The sequence below is a fragment of the Homo sapiens genome, chromosome 3 (assembly GCF_000001405.40).
Source record: "Homo sapiens chromosome 3, GRCh38.p14 Primary Assembly".
NCBI classification, from domain to species: domain Eukaryota; kingdom Metazoa; phylum Chordata; class Mammalia; order Primates; family Hominidae; genus Homo; species Homo sapiens.
The window spans coordinates 52,198,062-52,225,748 of NC_000003.12; the positions used below are offsets into that span (position 1 = coordinate 52,198,062).

General features: G+C 50.2%; 2 protein-coding genes across 8 annotated transcripts, besides 4 other annotated features; one reads left to right on the plus strand and one right to left on the minus strand.

Moving 5' to 3' along the window:
* ALAS1 (5'-aminolevulinate synthase 1) lies at window positions 22-16,266 on the plus strand. Of its 7 annotated transcripts, none has more exons than NM_001304444.1 (12): window positions 22-194; window positions 611-787; window positions 1,160-1,379; window positions 4,446-4,673; window positions 5,802-5,951; window positions 6,632-6,854; window positions 7,778-7,962; window positions 8,511-8,690; window positions 10,022-10,186; window positions 13,222-13,490; window positions 14,197-14,359; window positions 15,959-16,266. In NM_001304444.1, exons 2-12 carry the CDS (start codon window positions 758-760, stop codon window positions 16,117-16,119), a joined length of 1,974 nt encoding a protein of 657 aa, NP_001291373.1. In that variant the 5' UTR covers window positions 22-194; window positions 611-757; the 3' UTR covers window positions 16,120-16,266. The 7 variants fall into 7 exon arrangements, with proteins under 7 accessions (NP_001291373.1, XP_011531779.1, XP_011531780.1 ...); XM_011533477.3 differs by having other exon boundaries at window positions 15,948-16,249; NM_000688.6 differs by having other exon boundaries at window positions 99-194; window positions 1,149-1,379.
* Window positions 81-150: a silencer, noted in NCBI's record as "silent region_14431". NCBI's record gives its function as "represses an Ori minimal core promoter by ATAC-STARR-seq in GM12878 lymphoblastoid cells {active_cell/tissue: GM12878}" and the evidence as "EXISTENCE:reporter gene assay evidence [ECO:0000049][PMID:35858748]".
* Window positions 261-340: a silencer, noted in NCBI's record as "silent region_14432". NCBI's record gives its function as "represses an Ori minimal core promoter by ATAC-STARR-seq in GM12878 lymphoblastoid cells {active_cell/tissue: GM12878}" and the evidence as "EXISTENCE:reporter gene assay evidence [ECO:0000049][PMID:35858748]".
* Window positions 12,672-12,966: an enhancer, noted in NCBI's record as "tiled region #10522; HepG2 Activating DNase matched - State 5:Enh". NCBI's record gives its function as "activates a minimal TATA promoter and a strong SV40 promoter by Sharpr-MPRA in HepG2 cells {active_cell/tissue: HepG2}" and the evidence as "EXISTENCE:reporter gene assay evidence [ECO:0000049][PMID:27701403]".
* On the minus strand, window positions 23,019-27,584 carry TLR9 (toll like receptor 9). The gene is made up of 2 exons (NM_017442.4): window positions 27,466-27,584; window positions 23,019-26,251 (listed from the first exon to the last, which is right to left on the minus strand). Exons 1-2 carry the CDS (start codon window positions 27,466-27,468, stop codon window positions 23,156-23,158), a joined length of 3,099 nt encoding a protein of 1,032 aa, NP_059138.1. The 5' UTR covers window positions 27,469-27,584; the 3' UTR covers window positions 23,019-23,155.
* Window positions 27,364-27,463: an enhancer, noted in NCBI's record as "active region_19930". NCBI's record gives its function as "activates an Ori minimal core promoter by ATAC-STARR-seq in GM12878 lymphoblastoid cells {active_cell/tissue: GM12878}" and the evidence as "EXISTENCE:reporter gene assay evidence [ECO:0000049][PMID:35858748]".

Genomic DNA, 27,687 nt, shown 5'->3' on the forward strand with positions numbered 1-27,687 from the left:
GGGCTACGCGGCGCGCCTGCGCAGAAGAAGGCAGCGCCCAAGGCGCATGCGCAGCGGTCACTCCCGCTGTATATTAAGGCGCCGGCGATCGCGGCCTGAGGCTGCTCCCGGACAAGGGCAACGAGCGTTTCGTTTGGACTTCTCGACTTGAGTGCCCGCCTCCTTCGCCGCCGCCTCTGCAGTCCTCAGCGCAGGTGAGGGCCCGCGCGGTAGGTGCGGCGCCGGCCGAGGAAGCCCCGGGGTGTCCTGCCAGCCGTGGCACCGCTGCCCCGGGTGCTGGGACCCCATCCCCCACTGTCCCAGTCACCCGCCGCCTTGAGGTCAGCGTTTATCCTCCAGATCTTTTGCCTAGACGGCCGCCTCAGTTTCCCCCTTTCGGCCCCTTCCGGCTATTCCCGGTTGAACCCGCCGCTTTAGAATTCCCTTCTCATACCCCTCCCGTCATTCTCGAGACCTCGACCGCGGGTCACCTCTGACCCCCACTGCCGGAGGACTGCCTTCTTTCTCCAGACTCAACTCCCTCGACTTTATAAGCCCCTGCGCGTCCCCAGTGAGGCCCAAGGCGCTGGCCCTCATACCCCTACCCTCATTTGTGCCCCTCCTTTCTCAGTTATGCCCAGTTCTTCCCGCTGTGGGGACACGACCACGGAGGAATCCTTGCTTCAGGGACTCGGGACCCTGCTGGACCCCTTCCTCGGGTTTAGGGGATGTGGGGACCAGGAGAAAGTCAGGATCCCTAAGAGTCTTCCCTGCCTGGATGGATGAGTGGCTTCTTCTCCACCTAGATGTAAGCCAAGATGTCTTATCTGCACTGTGCATCTCCCTAAGAAACCTCTGGCCTCCCAAACCTGTTCTTGACCTTTCCCTCATCCTTCCGCCCCCTTGATTATGTACTGTCAGTATTCATTTGGTGAAGTTGCTTTGCAGGTGCCTTTGTGTAGCGCTGGAGAATGAAGAAGTTGGTGACCCGGGTAAAGTGTGGTCACCATTCCTTAGCTCACATCAGTGCTGTCCTTAGGCATTTTTGAGGGAGAAGTGTTAGTATTCCAGGGTACCCTTTATATAAACTGCGGTTGACACCTGAATCCAGTGAGCTTGCAGTGATATTTGCCTGATTATTAACAACTGTTGATGTCACTCTTCATCAGTCTTTCCACAGGAGCCAGCATACTTCCTGAACATGGAGAGTGTTGTTCGCCGCTGCCCATTCTTATCCCGAGTCCCCCAGGCCTTTCTGCAGAAAGCAGGCAAATCTCTGTTGTTCTATGCCCAAAACTGCCCCAAGATGATGGAAGTTGGGGCCAAGCCAGCCCCTCGGGCATTGTCCACTGCAGCAGTACACTACCAACAGATCAAAGAAACCCCTCCGGCCAGTGAGAGTAAGTGTCATTGACAATGAAGGAGCAGGTATGGGTGTTTGTGCTCATTGGTAGACTAGAAGCAGTCCCCACAGTGGTGGTGAGGGTCACACTCACTCACAGAGGGCTGCTATGTGCAGGCTGGGCTCTGAGCACAGATTATCTCATATGATTGTCCCCCCAAGGGTAGGCACTTTTAGCTTTTCCATCTTTAAAGGTGAAACAGTGGCCAGTGTTGCACATTACAGGTTTTTGGATTGCACGTTAGTGTCTATAGGGGTTTTAGTGTTTCCTCAGTGCCTCGTTCACATAAATATTAAATTGGAATGTTCTAATTTCCCTCATTAAACATTTAGCCTTCTAATTTCCCTCATTAAACATTTGGCCTTCGGCTTTTTATTTATTTAATTTTTCTTTTTTGAGACTGAGTCTTGCTCTGTCGCCCAGGTTGGAGTGCAGTGATGCAGTCTCGGCTTACTGCAACCTCCACCTCCCAGGTTCAAGTGATTCTCCTGCCTCAGCCTTCCAAGTATCTGGAATTACAGGCATGCACCACCACGCCCAGATAATTTTTGTACTTTTAGTAGGGTTTCACCTTGTTGGTCCGGCTGGTCTCAAACTCCTGACCTCAAATGATCCACCTGCCTCAGCCTCCCAGAGTGCTGGGATTGCAGGCGTGAGCCACCGTGCCCGGCCCCTTTGGCTTTTTAAAGTAGTGATTTTTTTTTTCTTAAAAGTTTTTGTTCTGTTGTGGTAAAATGCCCAAGAAAAATTACCATTTTAAGCACTTAAAAATGTGCAGTTCAGTGGTACATTCATATTGTTGTGTCACCACCACCATCCATCTCCAGAACTTTTTTCATCTTCCCAAACTGAAATTCTATACCCATCAAACAGTAACTCTCCATTCCTCTCTCCCCAACCCCTGACAACCACCATTCTGCTTTCTGTCTCTATGAATTTGACTATTCTAGGTACCTCATATAAGTGAAATTGTACAGTATTTATTAGTGATTTTTAAAAACAAATTTATCTTGGCTGTGTGCAGTGGCTCACTCCTGTAATCCCAGCGCTTTGGGAGGCCGAGGTGGTTTGATCACCTGAGGCCAGGAGTTCGAGACCAGCCTGGCCACATGGTGAAACCCCACTGTTACAAAAAATACAAAATTAGCTGGATGTGGTGGTGTACGCCTGTAATCCCAGCTATTTGGGAGGCTGAGGCATGAGAATTGCTTGAACCCGGGAGGTAGAGGTTGCAGTGAGCTGAGATCATGCCATGTATCTTTATTTGTATATACATTTGTTGTTGTTGTTTTTAACAAAGAGACTAGAGTTGAATTTAGTTTGCTCTGCTTCTGATAGGAGAGAACAAAGCTTTTCAGGTTCCACTTAATCCCAGAGAATATTTTACAGGTTTTTCTTAGGCGTGTTCTCTGGGTGTGGGCTTGTAAGAAAATAAGTTTTTTTTTTCTTTAAGCAGAAAGGATTTAATCCTTTGTAGGGTTTATTTTCAAGAGTTAGTTACGTCTTTTTTACCAAAATGCTTGCAATGGCTATGTTTTAAATGATAGGATTTTTTTCTTTTTCTAGACTTTAATGAATATGTATTACTTTTATAATAAATGAAATTAACTTCAAAATAATTTTTTTGGCCTTCCGTTATAGAAGATTTTAATGAAAACTGTATTGAGACACTTTACCCAAGTTATAGGAAAGGCTAGCCAGTGACTCACAGGAGTGTTCCAGAATGATGAAGAAAGACTTTTCTAGAAAGAAGGTGAATGAATTTGCTCAAGGGGAGAGGGAAGTCACTGTAGCTAGAAGGATAATTACCAGCCAACGGTGTTTAGTCAGCAGACTTTGATGAATTTAGATGAGAAAGTAGATGAGGTATGTGAATGTGATATACCCCTATTTTTTCTTACTTTATTAGCAATCTAAAGACCTAAGTCTTAGTCTAATTTCTGTTGTTTAGATGAAAACCAATAGCTTTTATGTTAAGCAACAGCAAGCCTCTTTGTCAAGAATCTGTTTAGAAAATGTCAGCAGAGACAGGATGTGGTGGCTCATGCCTGTAATTCCAGCACTTTGGGAGGCTGAGGCGGGAGGACTGCTTGAGCCTAGGAGTTTGATAGAAGCTAGGGCCACATAACAAGACTCCGTCTCTACAAAAAATAAAAAATAAAAAGAATTAGCTGGGCGCAGTAGAACACCTGCAGTCCAAGCTACTTGGAGAGCTAAGGTGAGAGGATCACTTGAGCCTGGAGGTCAAAGCTGCAGTTAGCTATGATTGCACCATGCACTCTAGCCTGGTTGACAGAGTGAGATCCTGTTTCAAAAAAAAAGGAAAGGAAAATGTTAGCAGAGAAAAAAATGTGTGTGAATATTTCCCGTTACCTTACAGAGTGTGTCCTCTCATAAAATAAGCTGAGTGTAGTTGGGGTAGAAATTACTGGAAATGATCCAACTCAAGGATTCCGGGTTGTCTAAAACTAGAAAATGGTACTTTTTTTGGATTTATGACGAGAAATACTGTGGGTTTAAGAGGCAACTGGAATGTGCCAGTTAACTCTTCATAGACGCATTGTTTCCTGTGAAGCAGATGAAAAACTAGAGAGATTAGCAGAACCTAATAAAAATAAGCTTGTGGCTGAGTGCAGTGGTTCACGCCTATAATCCCAGCACTTTGGGAGGCCAAGGCAGGTGGATAACCTGAGGTCAGGAGTTCAAGACCAGCCTGGACAACATGGTGAAACCCCATCTCTACTAAAAATACACAAATTAGCCAGGCATGGTGGCACACACCTGTAACCCCAGCTACTTGGGAGGCTGAGGCATGAGAATCACTTGAACCCAGGAGGTGGAGGTTGTAGTGAGCCAAGATTGTGCCACTGTACTCCAACCTGGGGTACAGAGCAAGACTCCATCTTAAAAACAAAACAAAACAAAAAAAACACTTGTGTCTGGATGGTGGGGTACAGTAAGTATTAAGTTTATCTTTGAGGCAATAAAAGAAAGAAATAAGTGGTTTTCTTACATACTGTGCAACCAGATCTGATGCTTCACTTTTTCCATTTCCTCCCTCAGAAGACAAAACTGCTAAGGCCAAGGTCCAACAGACTCCTGATGGATCCCAGCAGAGTCCAGATGGCACACAGCTTCCGTCTGGACACCCCTTGCCTGCCACAAGCCAGGGCACTGCAAGCAAATGCCCTTTCCTGGCAGCACAGATGAATCAGAGAGGCAGCAGTGTCTTCTGCAAAGCCAGTCTTGAGCTTCAGGAGGATGTGCAGGAAATGAATGCCGTGAGGAAAGGTAAGAGATGAGTTGTGAACCATTAGTGGTAGTGAAGGGGTCCTTTTAGTTCTTTTGGGCCCTCAGATTTGTGTATGAGCTATTATTAGGGCAGTATTTATGGAAACACCTTCCTCTTTTAGGGCCAGAGAGGAAGGTCTTCAAGATAGACAGTCAAGGGACTGTATTGCGAAAGTGGGACTTTCTTTCTGGTGCGTGTGTGGGATGTGACCAGCTTTTATAGTTACTACTTAATTTCTGAAAATAACCTGCAGTCTTGAGCTGCCACCAGCTGCCTTTTGTCCCTTTGGTCTTTCCCATCATCTGCTAGGATAAAGATAGAAAATAATGGTTTTACTGCAGTAAGTGCTGGTCCTAGGGCTCCCAAGCCGTGTGTCTTACTGATGGTCATTGAATTGCAACCTTAACTCCACAATATATAGGTGTGGCTATATCTGCAGAGAACTCAAGGCTCCCCAAAAGCCTAACCAGCAGAAATTATGCATATGGCCAAAATTGTTTTCTATGAAGAAAATTGAGATTAGGACCAGGCCCAGTGGCTCACACCTATAATCCCAGCACTTTGGGAGGCCGAGGCAGGTGGATCACTTGAGGCCAGGAGTTTAAGACCAGCCAGGCCAACATGGGGAAACCCCATCCCTACCAAAAATACAAAGATTAGCTGGGCATGATGGCGCATGCCTATAGTCCCATCTTCTCAGGAGGTTGAGGAGGGAGGATCGCTTGAACCCAGGAGGCAGAGGTTGCAATGAGTCGAGATCGTGCCACTGCTCTCCAGCCTGGGTGACAGAATGGGACTCTGTCTCAAAAAAAAAAAAACAGAAAATTGAGATTAGGATTGGGGTGGGGATGTAGTGGAGTGAATAAGACATGCCAACCAGCAAGAAAGCTTTGGACTTTATTGTTCATTAAAGCTGGCCAGTAGCTCTGAAAACAACACCAAGAGTCTGCCATTACAGTAACTAAAATAGAAGAGATGCTTTGTACACTCAGTTATAACTAACTTTGGTTATGCTTGGCCTTTTTTGTGAACTAGGCCATAAGCCATTTTTGACAATATGTTTGGAAGATATTGTGAACTCAGAATAGAAAGTTGGTCCCATTTGTTTCTTGTTACTTTTGTTCCAGAGGTTGCTGAAACCTCAGCAGGCCCCAGTGTGGTTAGTGTGAAAACCGATGGAGGGGATCCCAGTGGACTGCTGAAGAACTTCCAGGACATCATGCAAAAGCAAAGACCAGAAAGAGTGTCTCATCTTCTTCAAGATAACTTGCCAAAATGTAAGTCTCATTGTTATTTGCCTGATGTAGAAAAGAATTTATAATTCAAATGTACATTAGATTAAATATAAAATTGCATGGTGAGGCTGGGCACAGTAGCTCATACCTGTAATCCCAGCACTTTGGGAGGCTGAAGCGGGAGAAGATCACTTGAGGCCAGGAGTTTGAGGCCAGCCTTGGCAACATAGCAAGACACTATCTCTACCAAAACAGTTTTTTTAATTAGCCAGGCATGATGGCTTGCATCTATAGTCCCAGCTACTCAGGAGGCTAAGGTAGGAAGATTGCTTAAGCCCAAGACTTCAAGGTTCAGTGAGCTATGATCACGCTATTGCACTCCAGCCTGAATGACAGACAGAGACTCAGTTTCTAGGAAAAACAAAAAAATGTATGGTGAGTTGAGGCTTGAAAGCCATATCCCTTGCTTGCGTGAGCAGGTGCTTTTGGTTGTGGTGACTACAGGTGCTGTTGGTAGCCTGCCTTCTGTCCTTTAATACTTACCGTCTACACATGGCACTGAGCCAAACACGACATACAGTCTTATTTACTTACAAGATGAGGACATCAAATAACCTGCCCAGGATCTCCCTCAGTTGCCAAGCTGAGACTTGTTGTATTTCACCAAAATGCAGCTGTGTTTCACAACCACCATTCTGTACTGTCTTTTGTTCAATTTTTAGCTGTTTCCACTTTTCAGTATGATCGTTTCTTTGAGAAAAAAATTGATGAGAAAAAGAATGACCACACCTATCGAGTTTTTAAAACTGTGAACCGGCGAGCACACATCTTCCCCATGGCAGATGACTATTCAGACTCCCTCATCACCAAAAAGCAAGTGTCAGTCTGGTGCAGTAATGACTACCTAGGAATGAGTCGCCACCCACGGGTGTGTGGGGCAGTTATGTAAGTAGCCCTTGGCTTTCAAATATTACTGTTGTTATTTGGCAAGCCAATGATGATGTATAGGGGTTGGATCTTTTATGGAGGGAACATTCAGTAGCTGAAAGTGTGCCATAGCAAAATACTATTCTTAGCTTCTGAAAAATATCTACAGATTACTTTTAAAGGAACTCTAATATGCAGGTAGCTGCTGGAGCCCCTTAACTTGTGAGGGTTCAAGCTTATAGGCTCAATGACCACACACGTCAGTCCACTTTCTATCACTCTGCAAGTGAGTGTGCCTTTAACACCAGGCAGTCTTTCACAGAGACATCCTTGGTTGTGGCTGTGAGTGGAGAAATACGAATCTAGCAGCGCTAGAGAAAAAGCTACTCCAAAAGACATGTTAAAAAGGATGGTAGATCCCATCACTCGTCCTTCAGGAGGCTCACCATCCTAGGGATGCTGGAGAGAGTTGCTGGCCAGATTCTCCAAAGGCTTGCTAAAGAGGGTCCCGGTTTGAGGTTTAATGATAGTGATATATCCAAACATTACATGACTGGCTTGCAGAGGGTAACCACCATCCAGGATGTCCCTCTAGAGTTTGCTTTTTCTTAAGCTAACATGTTATTGGAAAGAATAATGTTTCTCAGAAAATAAACCTTAGTTTCTTAGAAAAGAAACTCAGCTAATACCAAGCACTTACTGACTGTTAAATGAACACTTGTTCTTGATGATTCCTGGAGGTATCATCACCCTAGCATTGACACCTTCTCCCACCTAGTCTGAAGATGAAATCAGTTGAAATTTCTGACCCCAGGTTTCACAGTGAGAGAGTTGCTACATCAACATGTTTCAGTCTCCTGGATCCTAGAAAGGGGAAAAAATTCACATGGTGTTGAGAACCATGAGCTTTATTTTCTGGTTTTGTTTGTATTTTTAAACAGGGACACTTTGAAACAACATGGTGCTGGGGCAGGTGGTACTAGAAATATTTCTGGAACTAGTAAATTCCATGTGGACTTAGAGCGGGAGCTGGCAGACCTCCATGGGAAAGATGCCGCACTCTTGTTTTCCTCGTGCTTTGTGGCCAATGACTCAACCCTCTTCACCCTGGCTAAGATGATGCCAGGTAAGGAAGCCTGGCATGAGTGCCTTCGAGTTTTTTGGGTTTCTTAGTAATAACAAGAATATTGGCAACAAAGAAGCCTTACCAGAACCTCTCAATTGAAAATCATAATCCTATCTGGGCATTTGTTCTGGGGTCAAGCATGAAATGCTGACTGTACATTATGGGTTCCAGGAGAACGTGATACCAGTGAAAATTCAAACTTGAAACGTCTCATCCTTGAGCTAATTGCCTCAAATATGTTTTGTATTCTAAGATGATCCTTTGGAGAAGTCTCTTAATCATTTAGTTAGCTCTTGATTGAGTTTGGAGTGAGGCAGTCAGATTTAAGAGCAGATTAATGGCCTGCCACAAGGTTATTCTACACCTTTGGGCCTTCTCACAAGGGAAGCACTAACTAGTTATTTTGCCAGGAAGAAACTGGCACACAGTGTCTTTTTCCTACTAGGCATTTTCAAAGCATCATTTCCAAGGAAAAGTCTGTTGTCTTTCTCTAGGAAATAATTTGTCTTCGATGCACATGGCAATAAATAGCATTTTTGTTGTCTTAGGCTGTGAGATTTACTCTGATTCTGGGAACCATGCCTCCATGATCCAAGGGATTCGAAACAGCCGAGTGCCAAAGTACATCTTCCGCCACAATGATGTCAGCCACCTCAGAGAACTGCTGCAAAGATCTGACCCCTCAGTCCCCAAGATTGTGGCATTTGAAACTGTCCATTCAATGGATGGTAAGTGTGGATAGAGGTTCCTCTGAAACCTAAGATGAAAAACTATGCCTGAACTCTTTAAAAGTATGGTGTTTTGTTGTGTTTTTTAATTTTTTTTTTTTGTGACCGATCCTCGCTCTGTTGCCCAGGCAGGAGTGCAGTGGTGCGATCTCGACTCACTGCAAGCTCCGCCTCCCGGGTTCACGTCATTCTCCTGCCTCAGCCTCCCGAGTAGCTGGGACTACAGACACCTGCCACCACGCCTGGCTAATTTTTTTTTTTTTTTTTTTTGAGACGGAGTCTCCCTCTGTCACCCAGGCTGGAGTGCAGTGGCGTGATCTCGGCTCACTGCAAGCTCCACTTCCTGGGTTCACGCCATTCTCCTGCCTCAGCCTCCTGAGTAGCTGGGACTACAGGCGCCTGCCACCACGCCCAGCTAATTTTTTGTATTTTTAGTAGAGACAGGGTTTCACCATGTTAGCTAGGATGGTCTCGATCTACTGACCTTGTGATCTGCCCGCCTCAGCCTCCCAAAGAGCTGGAATTACAGGTGTGAGCCACCGCACCTGGCCTAACTTTTTGTATTTTTAGTAGACGGGGTTTCACTGTGTTAGTCAGGATGGTCTCAATCTCCTGACCTTGTGATCCGCCCACCTTGGCGTCCCAAAGTGCTGGGATTACAGGCGTGAGCCACCGCGCCTGGCCTGTTGTGTTTTTTAATTTTCTTTTCCTTTCTGCCAGGATTTTTTTTTTTCTTCTTCCAACTTTTAGGTTCAGTGGGTACATGTGCGGGTTTATTATATGGGTAAATTATGTGTCACAGGGTGTTGGTGTACCAATTATTTCATCACCTAGGTAGTAAGCATAGTACCCAATGGTAGTTTTTGATCTCACCCTCCTCCCACCCTCCACCCTCAAGTCGGTCCCTGGTGTCTGTTGTTCCCTTCTTTGTGTCCATGTGTTCTCAGTGTTTAGCTCCCACTTATAAGTGAGAGCGATATTTGGTTTTTCCGTTCCTGTATTAATTCACTTAGGATGGCCTCTAGCTCCATCCGTATTGCTGTAAAGGACATGGTCTCATTCTTTTTTTATTGCTGTGTAGTATTGCATTCTGCCAAGATTTGTAATTGGTGGACTTTTTTCTAATAGATTTGGGTGAAAGTGGATTTTCTATTCTGGCTTTTACTAGGCTCTGGGACCCCAGGTAACCTAGAAATTAGAGGAAGTTCATTTTCTTTCCAATATTGAAAATGATACCTTAGAATAGAAGTTTACGTTGTTCTGACTCTAACCAAAACAGAAATTTCTGAAGCGGCAAAAGCTCTTCAGAGCAGTCTCTGGTCTTTCCTCAGGGGCGGTGTGCCCACTGGAAGAGCTGTGTGATGTGGCCCATGAGTTTGGAGCAATCACCTTCGTGGATGAGGTCCACGCAGTGGGGCTTTATGGGGCTCGAGGCGGAGGGATTGGGGATCGGGATGGAGTCATGCCAAAAATGGACATCATTTCTGGAACACTTGGTATGTATACATTGTATTACATACACTAAAATTCCATTATCCTAACAAGGCCAAGGACTAACTAGTCTAACTGGGATCAGGTGAGGAGACAGCCTGACAGCATATGAAGCCTGGGCCACTCTTTCTTTTGGCCCAGCTTAGTGGAATCCCTTGGGTCATGGAGGCATGGCTCTTAGAATCAAAGTAAATCCCACAGCCTAACACACTGATAGACCATTTATTGCTATCTGAGCTCATTTCAGACATAGTTGTGGGTCTAGCCCCATGCCATGGCAAGAGCCTGTACTCTCTGTGCCTCAGGCTGTTCTTAATTAAAAAGAAAAAGGAATTCTAGTACTTTTCTCCTGGAGCACTTGTTAGGTTCAGGTGTTGTGAAGTGCTGAACTCCGTGCCTGCCACGTGGGAACATTCTAATTCATCCTGGTTTTCCTCTGCTCTTCCTCATACAGAGGCTATGTCTCGTGGTAGATGGGAGCTAGACTTTGGAGCCCTGCCACCTCACTAGTTGTGTGACCTTGAGTTGGTAGTTAACCTTTCTATACCTCAGTTTCATCATCAATATAATGGAGAAAACAATAGGACCTAAATCAAAATATATGTGGAGAAGGTAAATAAGTTGTATGCAAACAGTTATTATAAACATTCCCTCTGAGAACCTATGAGAACCCTAAAGAGACGAAAATTACATAAATTTGAAGAATTTTTGTAATTTTGAAGAATTTTTTTAAGCCTTCAGAAGTGGGTAAGGCAGTTGGAAACCCATCTAGCAGTTAGCTAAAATGCCAGTTTATAGCCTATGCTTGGTAAAGGAAGGGCAGGCTTTTTAAAAAGCGTCCTTCAGCACTGTCAAGGGGTATGAGAACCTAGTGCAGACCCAGAAAGCCTGGGAGTTCTAAGGGTGGAACCACTACCAGGAGAAAAACACCTGATCATGTGTCTTAATTCAAGAAGCTCTTTTCTTTTTTTTCTTTTTTTTCCGAGATGGAGTGTCACTCTGTTGCCCAGGCTGGAGTGCAGTGGCGCGATCTCAGCTCACTGCAAGCTCCACCTCCCAGGTTCATGCCATTCTACTGCCTCAGCCTCCCAAGTAGCTGGGACTACAGGCACCCGCCACCATGCCTGGCTAATTTTTTGTATTTGTAGTAGAGACGGGGTTTCACCGTGTTAGCCAGAATGTTCTCAATCTCCTGACCACGTGATCTGCCCGCCTCAGCCTCCCAAAGTGCTGGGATTACAGGCGTGAGCCACCACACCCGGCCAGAAGCTCTTTTCTTTTAAGGATGTCTCCTGATGTGGGCTCTTTGAAGGTATGGTCATTGTGAGATGGAAAAGGCTGGAGAGAGAAACTTTATACCATAGGAGATTGAACCAACCCAGCTTTGCATGTGGTTTTAGCAAAAACATTAATTATAGAATGTTATGTTAAGATCTATGAAGACTCTTCTGGAGTTCTTTTTGTTTTTTGAGACAGGCTCTCACTCTGTGCCCAGGTGTGATCACAGCTCATCTGCAGCCTCCACCTCCTGGGCTCAAGTGATCCTCCCACCTCAACCTCCTGAATAACTGAGACTACAGGTGTGCGCTAGCATGCCTGGCTAATTTTTGTATTTTTAGTAGAAACGGGGTTTCACCATGTTGGCCAGGCTGGTCTCTAACTCCTGAGCTCAAGTGATTTGCCCCCCTCGGCCTCCCAAAGTTCTGGGACTATAGGTGTGAGCCACTGCACCTGGCCTCTTCTGGAGTTTTTAATCCTGAAACTTGAGATGTAGATCACACAAAAGGACTCAATGAGAATTGAAAACCAAGTCTGGCCCTAAATCAATCCTAATGCATTAATTGTCAAGAGTTTTGTTCTTAAGTAGGAAATAACACCAGTCATACCAAAACAGTTAATGCCTTAGCTGGGTAAAATTCCAGCCTCTGGGATAATGTTCCCTGTGGGAGGATGGTACAAGCACTGCAGAGCCAGTCTTGTTCCAAAGAGCACATGCAGTGCAGACATGGGGAGTGGAGCTGTGCTGGCTGTCAGAGCAGCAAGCCTGGGTGAGAAAGGGAAAGGAGAATAAGATGGTGGGAAGGGAGGCAGCAGCAGGGTATTTGGGCACACTGGGACCAGTCACTGAGGTGTCAGGTCTGATTGGAAGACCTGCATTTTGATCCTGGTTAGACACCAGCTTGGCCATATGACTTTGGGCAAGACCCTTTTGTAACTTTCCTTAGCTTTTTTACCCTTTTAAAAGTGAGTAGCCAGGCACGATAGCTCACACCTGAATCCCAGCACTTTGGGAGGCTGAGACAGGAGGATCACTTGAACCCAGGAGTTTGAGACCAGCCCTGGGCAACGAAGCATGGCCTCCTCTCTACACAAAATAAAAATTTAAAAAATCAGCCAGGCATGGTGGTGTACACCTGTCCTAGCTACTTGGGAGGCTGAGGCGGAAGGAATACTTGAGCCCAGGAGGTTGAGGCTGCAGAGAGCTATGATCATGCCACTGCACTCCAGCCTGGGTGACAGAGCAAGACCCTGTCTCTAAAAAAAAAAGGAAGATTAGATATCCTTTTATAGTCATGCATTGCTTAACGATGGGGGATGTGTTCTGAGAATTGCATCACTAGGCGATTTCATCATTGTGCAAACACCATAGAGTGTACTTACATAAACCTAGATTATATAGCCTACCGCACACCTAGGCTTTGTGGTATGGCGTGTTGCTCCTAGGCTGCAAACCTGTACAACATGTTACTGTATTGGATACTGTTGGCAACACCATGGTATTTGTGTATCTAAACATACCTAAACATAGAAAAGGTACAGTAAAAATACAGTATTATAATCTTATGGGACCACCATCATATATGTGGTCGTCATTGACTGAGACATCATTAATGTGGTGCATGACTACTCCAATCAGTCCAGGAACAAATTAAAAAGATAAGGAGAAAAGTCAGTGCTTTGAGGCTCCACAACACCTTGCTGTGTCCATTTAGAGCAATTTACAGCTGTTGCTGTAATTAATGAAGCTATCTCCTCCCAGGCAAAGCCTTTGGTTGTGTTGGAGGGTACATCGCCAGCACGAGTTCTCTGATTGACACCGTACGGTCCTATGCTGCTGGCTTCATCTTCACCACCTCTCTGCCACCCATGCTGCTGGCTGGAGCCCTGGAGTCTGTGCGGATCCTGAAGAGCGCTGAGGGACGGGTGCTTCGCCGCCAGCACCAGCGCAACGTCAAACTCATGAGACAGATGCTAATGGATGCCGGCCTCCCTGTTGTCCACTGCCCCAGCCACATCATCCCTGTGCGGGTAATGGCCTGTCTCTGATTGGACTTGCCGTGGGGTGTGCCTCTACACATGATGTACGGATGTTCTGCTTCATACCTTCCTGAAGTTGGGCTTGAGCGGGGTGACTGCCAGGGCAGGGGTTGTAGCCAGCCACCCTCTGTCATGTTTCCGCCATTGGCTGACTTCACCAAGAGAAGAAAGCCTTTGAACCCAGCAGGCTGGGGCAGAAGTTCCCTCTCCGGAGCACTGACCTTAACAGGGTAAACACAGAGCTTGTATCTAGAAAGCTCCAGAAGCCTGAGCTTGGCCAGCTTTGAAGTATGGCTTTCTACTTAGTAAATTTCAAAATAGGTTTTGCCCTTCCCACTACAAATGGTAGCACTGTTGATGTCACAGTTGAATTAGTGTAATGAATACAGCTAGTATAACTGAATCTAGATTATACATCGTGGGTATGAGAGTCTGCTGGTACGAACAGAACCAGTGTTTTCTGATTAAAAATGTATTTCTTTTTAATAAGGTTTTGGTTCCCTGGTGTTCACGAAACAACACTGGCTTCTTTTAAATGACAGGTGTTTGGGCAGCGCTTTCCCTCTGCCCCAAGCTTGCATGTGTTGCTACAGTCTGGTCTTGAGCCTGAGCGTTGTGGGGACTGCGTTCGTTAGGATCTCTGCTAAGAGGTAGTCCTTCCTGTTGTGACCTTACCTTCTGCTCTCATTGAACTTAGGTTGCAGATGCTGCTAAAAACACAGAAGTCTGTGATGAACTAATGAGCAGACATAACATCTACGTGCAAGCAATCAATTACCCTACGGTGCCCCGGGGAGAAGAGCTCCTACGGATTGCCCCCACCCCTCACCACACACCCCAGATGATGAACTACTTCCTTGGTGAGTACCTGGGGAGCTGCTGGTGCCTCACTGAGGAGTTGCATAAAGCTGTCTTTGCAGTGTTTATAATTGAAGCCCTTCAGAGGCATTCAGATTTGTTTCTTCTTCTTTTTTTAGTTTTTTTTTTGAGACAAGAGTTTCGCTCTTGTTGCCCAGGCTGGAGTACAATGGCACAATCTCGGCTCACCGCAACCCCTGCCTCCCAGGTTCAAGCGATTCTCCTGCCTCAGCTTCCTGAGTAGCTGGGATTACAGCCATGCGCCACCACGCCTGGCTGATTTTGTATTTTTAGTAGAGATGGGGTTTCTCCATGTTGGTCAGGCTGGTCTCGAACTCCCGACCTCAGGTGATCCACCCACCTCAGCCTTCCAAAGTGCTGGGATTACAGGTGTGAGCCCTGGTGCCCGGCCTGTTTCTTCTTTTTCCAAGTAACTAAGCATGCCCTCAAATGGTTCAAAACCCTAAAAGGTATTTATTGTCTGATTCACATCAAGAGGGTGGAGAGTCATTTTGGGAGCTCTGAGGGAGCCTGGGAATCCGCTCAGTGTTTCCAGTGCCCCCTTGTCTACGTGGCTGAAGGATGCACAGTAATGACTTGCAGGGAGAAGAGGCCTCTGAAGGCTTGAGTCCCCGCTGTCCCTCCGGAGTCCACCTCACATTTGTCTTCACCACTGCCCTCTACTCCATGATGTTGTATAATCCTTGAATAACCCCACACCTAATCGCCTCTGATAAGAGGAATTGCTCAATATTTTCAACTGCCCCGTGGTTCTATACTGCTCCACCCATGTCCAACCTAAAGGCAGAGATGGAAGGGGGCTATTAGCCACAGGTCACCTCTGCCTCGAAGGTACATTGCCTTCCCAAGCCCGCCCAGCGTGGCTCAGCTTCCTCACAGGCTCTCTGTTCTGTTGGAAATGCTGGGTTTAAACTGTCACGTGGCAGTGTTGGAGCAGCTTCTTCCCTACAGGCCTGTGAAATCAAGCCCAACTCTGGGTTTTATTTTTCTCTTTATTTATTTTTATAAAAGCCTTAAAATTTTTATAAAAGCCTTATCTCAGTAGAGATATAGCTCACTTACCATAAAATTCACCCTTTTAAAGTATCCAAGTCTATGATTTTTAAGTACACTCCCAGTGTTATGCAACCATCACTTCTATCTGATTCTAGAACATTTTCATCACCTCAGAAGCCCCTACCCATTAGGAGTCACTCCTCTTTTCCCCATCCCCAGCCCCTGTCAACCACGGCTCTTTCTGTCTCTATGGATTTGCCTTTTCTGGACCTTGTGTCTAAGTGGAATCATACCGCCTGTGCTCCTTTGTGTCTGCCTTCTTCCAGCATCATGTCTGCAAGGCTCATCCATGCTGTAGCATTCATCAGCACTTCATTTCTTTCTGTTACCAAATAACCTTCCATTGTACAGATTTACCACATTTTGTTTATCCGTCTATTGGTGGACATTTGGTTGTTTCTCTTGTTAACTATTATGAATAATGCTGCTATGAACATTTGTGTACAAGTTTTTGTGTGGACATATGTTTTCATTTCTCTTGTGTATATTACTCCCTTTAATATTTAAAAACTGTTTCTCCTCAGAGAATCTGCTAGTCACATGGAAGCAAGTGGGGCTGGAACTGAAGCCTCATTCCTCAGCTGAGTGCAACTTCTGCAGGAGGCCACTGCATTTTGAAGTGATGAGTGAAAGAGAGAAGTCCTATTTCTCAGGCTTGAGCAAGTTGGTATCTGCTCAGGCCTGAGCATGACCTCAATTATTTCACTTAACCCCAGGCCATTATCATATCCAGATGGTCTTCAGAGTTGTCTTTATATGTGAATTAAGTTATATTAAATTTTAATCTATAGTAAAAACATAGTCCTGGAAATAAATTCTTGCTTAAATGGTGGTTCTTTCTGCTATTGGCTACTGGATAACATTCTTCATTGGCTAGACACAGTGGCTAACACCTGTAATCACAACACTTGGGAGGCCAAAGCAAGAGGATCACTTTAGGCCAGGAGTTTGAAGCTGCAGTGAGCCATGATTGCTCCACTGCACTCCGGCCTGGGTGACAGAGCAAGACTGCCTCTGAAATAAAAAATAATAATTGTCATCATCCCTTTAAGTTCAGTCTGTATTCTAGGAATGAATAAACTGAATGAAGTACTGGAGCTCTGGTAATGGCTTCAGAGGAGGAGCAGCAGAACCTCCCACTGCTTGAGCCCTGCTACCTCCTTAATGCCTACTGTATCCAGTGGCTGACCCAGCCGCACCCGGCAACTGAACAGTTTTGAAAGAGTGACACCACCTTGGCGGCCGGTTTCACTTTAAACTTCTCACTTCACATCTTCAATGGACAGTCAGTGCTGCCCAGCAGTCCTGCTACAGCTGCCTCCCCCTGACTTTCCCTTTCAGCTACTGCCTTGACCCCATTCTTCCCTGTGAAAGTCTGGGCGTCAGAAGACTGGCTTGTCTGTCACCACCCTGTCCTCCAGCCTGTCAGCTTCCTGCACCTGTAGTTGTGTCCCATCCAGCAAAGGCAGAGGGGTTTGTGCTCCTCATCCTGCCTCTCTCCGTTTGTATTTCAGGTCCTGTTGTTTCTTGCATGGTCCTGCAGCCATCTCTTTGCTGCAGAATTTCTCCCCCTCTGCTGGTTCATTCTCCTTGGCCTGCAGAGGCTTTGTCCCCCTTCTGAAAAATAAGCTCTCTCTGTCCAGACCCCCTTCTTGCTGCCCCTGCCCCTCTGTGCTGCCCCTGTTCTAAGCAGTTGCCCTTTCATCCCTGTTCTCTAGGAAGGCTGCTCGTCTCTCACATCTGTCTCTATCTTGCCAAGTCCGGTGGCCAGTTCTGTCTTCCTTTGGTGGATCTCAGTGGTATTTGCAGTGGTTGTCCTTGGCCTTTTTGAAGCTTCTCCTCTAAGCGTCTGTGCCACTAACCTCTGCCGATTGTTCTCCCCCTGCCCCATGAGCTGGTTCTTGTTCCATTTGGGTGGGTCTTGCTGTGAATGTTGACGGCCCCACCAGGCTCGTCTCTTAACTGTACTCAACTCCCCCACCCCACAGAATCTCTCGCAGCCTGGGCTTTGAGCTGCATCTGTGCACTGCCATCTCTGCCTGGGTGTCAAACAGGTACCTCCAACCACACAGGCACGGAGGGCACCCAGGGTCTGCTGCCCCTCGCTGCCTGGTCTTCTTCTTGCCTTCTCATCTGCCCAGGCACCCAGACCTCTCCTGTGGAAATCAGCCCTTTCCCTCACATGCACACTACTAGCAAGTCCTGTAAGTTCCACCTCTGAAGTGCATCTCAGGCCCGGCCACATCTCATCCCCTCCTCTGCCGCCACCCTCATCATGCCACCATATGGCATCTGCCCAACTCACCCCAAGAGCAGCCTTCCTAGAGAAGATCTTTTAAAAATAAAATCAGATCATGTCCCTACCCTGCAGAAAACTTTCCTGGGTCTTCCAGTCACAATCCGGTTAAATTCTAAATTCAGGCTGGGCATGGTGGGCATGGTGGCTGATGCCTGTAATCCCAGCCTGTAATTCCAGCACTTTGGGAGGCTGAGGTGGGAGAATTGTTTCAGCCCAGGAGTTTGTGAGAGCAGCCTGGGCAACAATGGGAAATCCTCTCTCTACAAATAATTTAAAAATTAGCCAGGTGTGGTGGTGCACACCTGTAGTCCAGCTGCTCGGGGGAGGCTGAGGTGGGAGGATCGTTTGAGCCCAGGCAATCGAGGCTGCAGTGAGCTGAGACTGCATCACTGCACTCCAGCCTGGGAGACGGAGCGAGACCCTGACTCAAAAACCCTAGGCCAGGCATGGTGGCTCACACCTGTAAGTAATCCCAGCACTTTGGGAAGGCAAGGCAGGTAGATCACTTGAGGTCAGGAGTTCGAGACCAGCCTGGCCAAGATGGTGAAACCCCATCTCTACTAAAAATACAAAAAATTAGCCAGGCGTAGTGGCATGCACCTGTAATCCCAGCTACTCGGGAGGCTAGGCAGGAGAATCACTTGAGCCCAGGAGGTGGAGGTTGCAGTGAGCCGAGATCATGCCACTGCACTCCAGCCTGGGTGACAGAGTGAGATTCCATCTCAAAACAAAACAAAACCCTAAGCTCCTCACACAGGCTGACAAAGTTGGGATCAAGGTCCCATCCAGTTCTCCAGACCCGTCTCCCATCCTACCCTCGTTTGTTCACTGTGGGCCTCAAATACCTAGGTTCTCTGCAACTTCCAGGCCCTGGTGTGAGCCATTCTTTCTCTGCCAGTATGCTTCTCCCCTGGATCATGGTGTGGCTGCCTCTCTTCACTCAGACAAGGGTCCCCAAGGAGACCATGCTGAGCATGCCGGCTAAGGCAGACCGTCTTGCAGTCTCACCATTGCTTGGCCTCTGACATGATGCCCTTCAGAGCTCTGGTCACCACCCACAATGACTTTTCCCCTGCTGGCCATTTGCCCTGTTGTAATGTCATCTCCCTGAGGACAGGTGCCCTGTATTCTCACTTCCGTGTCCTTAAAGTCCAGCACAGTGCCTAATACATAGTGGATGCTAAACAAATGTGTACTGAATGAAAGAAAAAGAAACCCAATGGCAACAGGTCAAGTTTACTAGAAAGACTGAGACAGCTGAAGCAAAACCAAGCAGCTGGAGTTGAGCAGAGTCCTTTGACCTCGCCTCCCTTCTCGTAGCTCTAGAAACGGCAGCTGTGTTTTCTCCTCTCTGTACAGAGTTGGGCTGGCACCCCTTCCCAGGAAGCTGGCAGTGGGCCTGGGGCACACACCCTCAGAGCTCGGCTGAGTCACACTCCCATCAGATAAAACCATACACCTAGGCAGGCTACAGGGCTTGATGGAAACCACATCACCTCGGAATCATGATTCAGTTCCTTCCTGCTCAGGAAACGAGCCTCGCTTAGCATTCCTGGCTCTGCTGCCTCACAGGAGCTTTCAGGGCTTTCCATTGTCCCTGTCATTCCCACGCCCAGGACTCCATCACCTCCCTTCCTTCAAATGGGATTGTTCTCCTCCAGCTGGGGTAATGTTGCTACCTGAATGCTTAGGAAGATCCACTCTTCCTTCGTAAGACCCAGAGCCAGCAGAAGCAAGGCCCTCAGGTGCATGTGCCCCTCCCTGCTTCTTGGGGTTATGAGAACGAAGGACCGGGTGATCTGCAGGAAGTAGGCGGGATTCGTGAACTGCTTAAAAATGGAAGTTTGGGCCGGGCTCCATGGCTCACGCCTGTAATCCCAACACTCTGGGAGGCCAAAGCAGGTGGATCACTTGAGGTCAGGTGTCCGAGACCAGCCTGGCCAACATGATGAGACCCCATCTCTACTAAAAATACAATAAATTAGCCAGGCGTGATGGTGCGCACTTGTAATCCCAGCTACTTGGGAGGCTGAGGCAGGAGAATCGCTTGAACCCGGGAAGCGGAGGTTGCAGTGAACCAAGATCACACCACTACACTCCAGCCTGGGTAACAGAGCGAGAGTCCGTCTTACAAAAAAAAAAAAAAAGAAAGAAAAGAAAGGAAGTTTGGCTTTTATAAGCAACTCTAGTGTGAAACTACGATGTCATGAAAGTTCTCTAAGGATATTTAGAAGCTGACGGCATTAAATAAGGTGTCCTAAAGGGAAAAGGGCAAACTGTATTTGAAATCTTAGTGAACAGACATTCCTCTCCTTGAAGTTTTCCTCTATCAGGTTGCCTGAGTCTCATGCCTGCTCCTCTACTTCCTTGTGCTGGGAAGCACTCTCTGCTCCCCAACACGAGGGGATAACACCAGGTCCATGGACTTTCCCAGGAGCCCTGGTCCTGCTCCCAGAGACAGCTACTGTCCCAGCTGCATGTGCCTCTGATGCAACCACATCTGAACCCTGTCAGTGCCCTGGGAGGCACTGGGTGGAGAGAGAAACACTGAAGCCACATCAGTTGAGGGTCCTGCGTGTAAATCCCATCACCTAATAATAACTGAGGCCCTGCTCAGTGTTTCAGACCCTTACCCATAGTGTACGAATCCCTCCAACGTCCTGCAGAGTGGCGCTGCTCATTCCCATTTATAGAGCGAGCAAGCTGAGGCTCCAGTAGGGGAGGTCACCTGCCTGAGACAATCCAAATGGCAGAACTGGCAGGCAAGCCCAGGCAATCTGGCCTGAGTCCTGTCTCTTTCCTGGCCGTGCTGATGGGCAAGGATGGCCGCCGTGTGGAGGAGAGAACCTGGAGCCATCTCTGAGTACCCTTCCTGACTACAATGCAGAGGGCGCCGCCTCCCACCCAGCCCCACCCTGGCCCAGCTCCAACCACTTCCTGCAGGACCTGAGATAGTGGTGCGCGGCTTCTCTGATCACGTAGACAGCACAGAGCCAAGTGCCACAGACCCCCAGACTCACCTGAGCCGAGCCCAACAGCCCCCTACCATGGCCCGTGTGCTTCCTCTCCAAATGCTCTCCTGAATCTCCAGCCCCAAAAGCATCAGGGCTGTGAGCGTGGGTGGGGGGTGGGGAGATGGAAGGTCCACCAGGAACTGCTGGAGGGTGGGCCTGGCAATCCCAAGACAGGCAGGTTTGCCTTGCCTCCCACATGCAAAATATGGTTCCCTGAATGGGATTCTGTTTCCAGCTTCCTGTCCCTGCCCCTGATTGTGGCCAGAATAGTCTCAGAGCCACTCAACAGTGGACTTCCCTAGACTCCAGCCAGGGGGAAAAGACTATTGTTTTCTTTTCTCTGCAGGCAGCCAAGGAAGGATGACAGGTTGGGTCAGAGCCCACGTGGGGCACAGGGCTTCCGATTGGTAGGTCAGAGACCCTCCTTCTTTCAGATGAGCAGATAACAGGGATCTACAGCCCACCACAGGAGCCCCTGTACCCAAGTCAGAAAGAGGACGGCAGCATAGACTTCCCCCACAGCCATGCCCTGGGGAGTAGGGCAAAAGCAACCCTCCAAGGGCTGCCATGATGAGCCCACCAAGTTAGCTGTCTGCTGCCAGCTCTAGCTCTCCCCTCCAGAGGCCCTGAGTGGACAAGCAGATCTCAAACTGGCCTGGACCGGCCAAACCGGGCCCCAGCTCCAACCTGTCAGCCTGCATATTTCTCCCCTGCTCCTCAAAGGGCAGTTTTGGCTGTGGTAATGGTGTAGGCTGCCAGCCCAAGAGAGGGCCCCTCAGGGGCTCCAGGCCTGACGCTCCTCATGGCTCCACACACAGTGTGGAGGAGATCCTGCTGAGGACAGACCCTGACCTCTCCAAACACTGGTCATTGGGGCTCCCAGCTCTATCCTGAAATGTACACTATCACATATAGAAGCCGGGTGCAGTGGCTCACACCTGTAATCCCAGCACTTTGGGAGGCCGAGGCAGGAGGATTGCTTGAGCCCAGGAGCTTAAGACCAGCCTGGGCAACGTGGTGAAACCTGGTCTCTACTAAAAATATAAAATTTAGCTGGGTGTGGCCTGTAGTCTCAGCTACATGGGAGGGTGAGATGGAGCACCTGGTCCCAGAAGGTTGAGGCTGCAGTGAGCTGTGATCCCACCATTGCATTGCACTCCAGCCTGGGTGACAGAGCAAGACTGTGGCAAAAAAAAAAAAAAAAAAAAAGGTCAGGCTTGGTGGCTCACGCCTATAATCCCAGCATTTTGTGGGGCTGAGGCGGGAGGATCACTTGCATCCAAGAGTCTGAGACCAGCCTAGGCAACATAGTGAGATCCTGTTTCTACAAAAAAATAAAAAATTCGCTGAGTATGGTGGTGCACCCCTGTGGTCCTAACTACTCAGGAGGCTGAGGTGGGAGGATCGCTTGAGCCCAGGAGGTCAAGGCTGCAGTGTTCATGCCACTGCACTCCAGCCTGGGTGACAGAGTGAGACCTTGTCTCAGAAAGAAAGAAGAGAGAGAGAGAGAGAGAGAGAGAGAGAAAGGAAGGAAGGAGGGAGGGAGGGAGGAAGGAGGGAGGGACGGAGGGAGGGAGGGAGAGAGGGAAGGAGGGAGGGAGGGAGGGAGGTGGCTTGCCTAGGTGTCCCTTTAATATCAGAATGGAGAGACCCAGCAAGCACCTGTAGGTGGAAAGAGAAAGGAGTGGATTCTCCTGTCTGTGGCTCCCAGCTCCCTGCTGCAGGGATGCACCCACAGGCCTTCCCCTCCCGACCCTGAACCAGCCTTCTCCGCTTGGCACAGGCATGGCCACCAGAGGGCGCAATCACCCCTCCACCTTTGCTGCAATTCATTCTACCGTTTTGGAATGAACAGTCCCCATAGCTGCTGCCACTCAAGACTTTGCTGAGCGCCAGAAAGGAACCAAGCCTGCAGCTTCTCTGCCCTCAAGGCATTCCAGTCCAGTAGGCGAGGGAGACAGACAACCTGAGACCCATACACAACAAAGGGGTGCTGCCAAGTCTGTCAGGTGCTGCCCGGTTCTGCATGGGAAAGGTAGGGCAGGGCATTCTGGGAGGGGCTAAAAGAGGCCCCTACTCTCTGGGAAGGACCAAGACCACATCCAGTGACCATCATCAGACTCCCCAGAGAACAGAGCTTAGCAGCTTCCTCCCCTGCAGACCTCTGTCCCGTCTTTATGGCAATTTTCCCTAAGCTGCTTCGTGGAGGCCTGGAGAATTCTCCCTTCCCTCCTCCTGTCCATGCCTCCAGTGAGCTCAGAGTTAGCCATCTAGCCTTCGGTAGCATTTATTGAGTGCCTGCTCTGTGTCAGGTGTGGGGTGAGGGAGGCGAGCAGGGGAGGGTCAGACCAGGCAGGCAGAGGTGAGGTGAGTGTGGAGGTGGCACCGTGCAGGATTCCGGCTCACGGCTATTCGGCCGTGGGTCCCTGGCAGAAGTTCCGGTTATAGAAGTGGTGGTTGTCCCTGGTCAGGGCCATGCCCAGCTGGGCCCAGAAGCTGCGCTGACCACTGGGCTGGTGGGGCCAGAGGAGGACACTCTGGCGGCAGAGGCGCTGGCGCAGCCGCACGTAGCGGGAGCGGCGGCCGTCAGGGCTCAGGATCACCAGCACCACGACGTCCTTGCGGTCCTCCAGCAGGCGCTGCTGGGCCAGCAGGAAGCTGGCGCGCAAGAGACCACTGACCCGGTCCGTGTGGGCCAGCACAAACAGCGTCTTGCGGCTGCCATAGACCGAGGCCCACAGGTTCTCAAAGAGGGTTTTGCCAGGCAGCCAGTCGCGTTCCTCCAGGCACAGGCGGAGTGCCCAGCGCCCACGGCACTCCTCCAGCTGCCCCCGAAGCTCGTTGTACACCCAGTCTGCCACTGCGCTCTGCGTTTTGTCGAAGACCACGAAGGCATCGTAGGGCAGGGCATCCTCATCTCGCCCACTTTGCCGCCCCCGCCAGGGAAGCCAGGCCAGGCACAGGTGGAAGCAGTACCAGAGGTCCCAGCCACAGAGGTGATGCAGCATGGGCACACCCAGGCCCAGAGCCACAGCCAGCAGCGAGAGGGCGAAACAGTCCCAGGAGAGGGCCTCATCCAGGCAGAGGCGCAGGTCCTGTGCAAAGATGCTGAGGCCCTGGAGCTGGCCCGGACTGCCACACTTCACCCGGCTGGGCAGACCGGGCACGGCAGCCTGCACCTCCAGCAGGAAGTCCATAAAGGCCGCCCCACAGGCGCAGTGCAGAGGGTTGGCGCTTACATCTAGTATTTGCAGGGCACTCGCCAGGGGCCCAAACCAGGAGTGGTCCACTGTCTTGAGGGCGTTGGCGCTAAGGTTGAGCTCTCGCAGCTCCTTGGCCTTGGAAAAGAAGCCGGGGGCCACGAAGCTGATGCTGTTGCAGCTGACATCCAGCCTCCGGAGCCGGGTGCCAGCAGGCAGGCTGCCATTGGTCAGGGCCTTCAGCTGGTTTCCTGCCAGGTCGAGGACTTCCAGTTTGGGCAGGAAGTGGAGGCTCCACCACTTAAAGAAGGCCAGGTAATTGTCACGGAGACGCAGCACCTGTAGGCTCTTGGGGAGGTTGCGCAGGGTTTGGGGCAGGAGGGTGTGCAGGCGGTTCTGGGACAAGTCCAGCCAGATCAAACCGCTCAGGCCTTGGAAGAAGTGCAGATAGAGGTCTCCCTCGGCCCACATATGGCCCAGTGCATTGCCGCTGAAGTCCAGGGCCCGCAGCGACGTACTGCAGAGCTGCTGGGACACTTGGCTGTGGATGTTGTTGTGGGCCAGGCTGAGGTGGCGCAGGGTGCGCAGGTGAGCCACGAAGCTGAAGTTGTGGCCCACGCCCTGCATGCCAAAGGGCTGGCTGTTGTAGCTGAGGTCCAGGGCCTCCAGTCGCGGTAGCTCCGTGAATGAGTGCTCGTGGTAGAGGTCCAGCTTATTGTGGGACAGGTCTAGCACCTGCAGACCGGTCAGCGGCAGGAACTGGGAGCCATTGACTGCCTGCGAGATGCAGTTGTGGCTCAGGCGCAGGCACTGCAGGTGCGAGAGCTGGGCAAACATCTCCGGCTGCACGGTCACCAGGTTGTTCCGTGACAGATCCAAGGTGAAGTTGAGGGTGCTGCAGTTGGGCCTGAAGTCTTCAGAGCTGGGAGTGTCCACTGGGGCCGGAGCAAGGTCCCCAGGCTGCAGCCAGACCTTCTCCCCTCCATCTGCCTCCCCCATGGTGGCTGTCAGCTCCGAAGCTCCGCTGATGCGGTTGTCCGACAGGTCCACGTAGCGCAGGCCAGGGAAGGCCCTGAAGATGCCGAGCTGGGCCTGGTTGATGAAGTTCATCTGCAGACGCAGAGTCTGGAGCATGGGCAGGCGGGCCAGTGGCCGGAGCGTGGTCTCATCGAGTGAGCGGAAGAAGATGCCGTGCATGTCCAGCTCCTTCAGGGCGACCAGGCTCCCGAAGGAAGGGGCCAGAGACAGGTGGGCAAAGGACACCCTCTTTTGGTAATTGAAGGACAGGTTAAGCTTGCGCAGCTGTGTTAGGCCCTGGAAGGCCTTGGTTTTAGTGATGCATTTGTAGAGGAAGTTCTCACTCAGGTCCAGCACTCGGAGGTTTCCCAGCCCACGGAACCAACTGGCATTCAGCCAGGAGAGAGAACTGTCCTTCAACACCAGGCCTTCAAGACGGCTCAGGTGGCTGAAGGTATCGGGATGTAGCTGGGGGAAGTGACGAGGGCACTCCATGCAGGGGTTGGGAGCGTGGTCGCAGCGGCGGCAATTTCCGCCCACATCGAGCACACGCAGGGCGGTCAGATTGGCCAGGTCCTCAGGCGCCAGTTTGACGATGCGGTTGTAGGACAACAGCAGATACTCCAGGCTGGAAGGCAGGTTGCGGGGCACCACAGTGAGGTTGTTGTACTTGAGTGACAGGTGGGTGAGGTTGCCCAGGCCAAGGAGGGCACCCGGGGCCACCTCCAGTGCCTGCCTGCAGGGGTTCTTGTAATAACAGTTGCCGTCCATGAATAGGAAGCGCAGGGCATGCAGGCCGGCGAGGCTGGCAGAGTCTAGCATCAGGATGTTGGTATGGCTGAGGGACAGGGATATGAGGGATTTGGGCAGCGCAGGCACAGTCATGATGTTGTTGTAGCTCAGGTTTAGCTCTTCCAGGGTGGGCACAGCCAAGAAGGTGCTGGGCTCGATGGTCATGTGGCAGGGGAAGTGCATGGGGCTGAGGCCAACCGGCGGGCAGTTCCACTTGAGGTTGAGATGCCGCAGGCTGGGCAGGTGGGCAAAGTCAGAATCATGGAGGTGGTGGATGCGGTTGGAGGACAAGGAAAGGCTGGTGACATTGCCACGGGGTGCTGCCATGGAGAAGTGGGGCACAGACTTCAGGAACAGCCAGTTGCAGTTCACCAGGCCGTGGGGCTGGAGCTCACAGGGTAGGAAGGCAGGCAAGGTACCCAGGGCCAGGGTCATGGCCAGCATGATGGCCTGCACCAGGAGAGACAGCGGGTGCAGGGCGCTGCGGCAGAAACCCTGTGGGGGTGGGAGGGCTGTGTGAGTGGCCGGCCCCCAGCTCTACCTCCACCCACTCCACTTCATGGGCATCTTCTAGCATCTTCCAACCCCTCTCTCCAAGCCCTACCTGCAGAAGTTCTTCCTGGCTGCCAAGCCCCATTCCCATCCCCCATGGCTTGTGGGGAACCTGAACTCAGTCTCAGACCCAGTCTTGGACTCAGAATTAGGCTTCAGAACCAGGACTGAGACCTAGAATCCAGACTTATGATCTACAGCTTTCACTTAACCAATCCCTGGCTATACCAGGCCAGGCAAGGTGGCCCACGGCCCCCCCTGGTCTCTCCCCGACTTTCCCTTCCTGCTCCTGAGCAAGGTGGCAGCTGGCTCCCTCCCCTCCAGCTGCCCTGAAATCCGCTCTCTGCCCTCCACCAGCCACCCCACAACCCCTTCCTTTTCCTTCGGCCAAGATTCAGGCAGGTGTGAGAGTCTCCCACTATGGCCCAGGCCGGCTGCCTCCCAGGGACCCTGGCCAGAGGGCACTGCACAGCTCCATCACTCTCTGCCTGCCTCACCTAGCCCGAGAGCCTTTGCCTTATGGGTCAGAACAGATGGAGAGAGGGGTGGCCTGCAAAGTGCCAGACAGAGCCAGCCCCAAGCTACAGGCCCAGTGAGACCCAAACCCAGGCTCCAGCCCCAGCTCCATCAGTGCCTCAGTCTCCTCGTCCCCTCTGGGGGTTTGGGTCTCATTGCTCAGAAGAGGGCTTCAGTGGCTGGGCACGGTGGCTCACACCTGTAATCCCAGCAGTTTGGGAAGCCGAAGTGGGCAGATCACCTGAGGTCTGGAGTTCAAGACCAGCCTGACCAACATGGAGAAACCCTGGCTCTACTAAAAATACAAAATTAGCCAGGCATGGTGGCGCAAGCCATAATCCCAGCTACTTGGGAGGCTGAGGCAGGAGAATCACTTGAACCCGGGAGGTGGAGATTGCAGTGAGCTGAGATCAAGCCACTGCACTCCAGCCTGGGCAACAAGAGCGAAACTCCGTCTCAAAAAAAAAAAAAAAGAAAAAAGAAGAGGGCTTCGGCTCTGAAGTCTTCAGGATTCAGTGAGTGTCCCCAGGGCCATGTGGGTGACAACCCGTCACTGTTGCTTGCAGCTGCCAAGCCCACTTCTTTCCCCACCCCTTCCCAGGATATCCCCTTCCCCAGGGGACTGAGAGCTGTTGTCCTACCATGCTGGGGGGCAGGGGCTTCTCCAGAGGGTCTGGCGGGCAGACTGGACAGCAGCTACAGGGAAGGATGCTTCACACTCGAGGTCCCTTCCCACAGGGGCAGCAGCGGCTCAGAGAATAGAGGAAGTAAGATTTTTATACCAGCCTAGTAGCTCCCCCTCCACTCCACCCTGCCCCCAGTGAGGAGGACAGGGTCCCATGAGTCAAAGGCCATTTGCATAG

What these genes read in the sequence shown, in the direction of transcription:
- ALAS1 (NM_001304444.1), top strand. Translation starts at nt 758, where the DNA reads ATGGATGAGTGGCTTCTTCTCCACCTAGAT. An exon ending in AACCCCTCCGGCCAGTGAGA is followed by an intron (nt 1,380 to 4,445) that starts GTAAGTGTCATT and finishes TTCCTCCCTCAG; the next exon opens with AAGACAAAACTGCTAAGGCC. An exon ending in CGGGTGTGTGGGGCAGTTAT is followed by an intron (nt 6,855 to 7,777) that starts GTAAGTAGCCCT and finishes ATTTTTAAACAG; the next exon opens with GGACACTTTGAAACAACATG.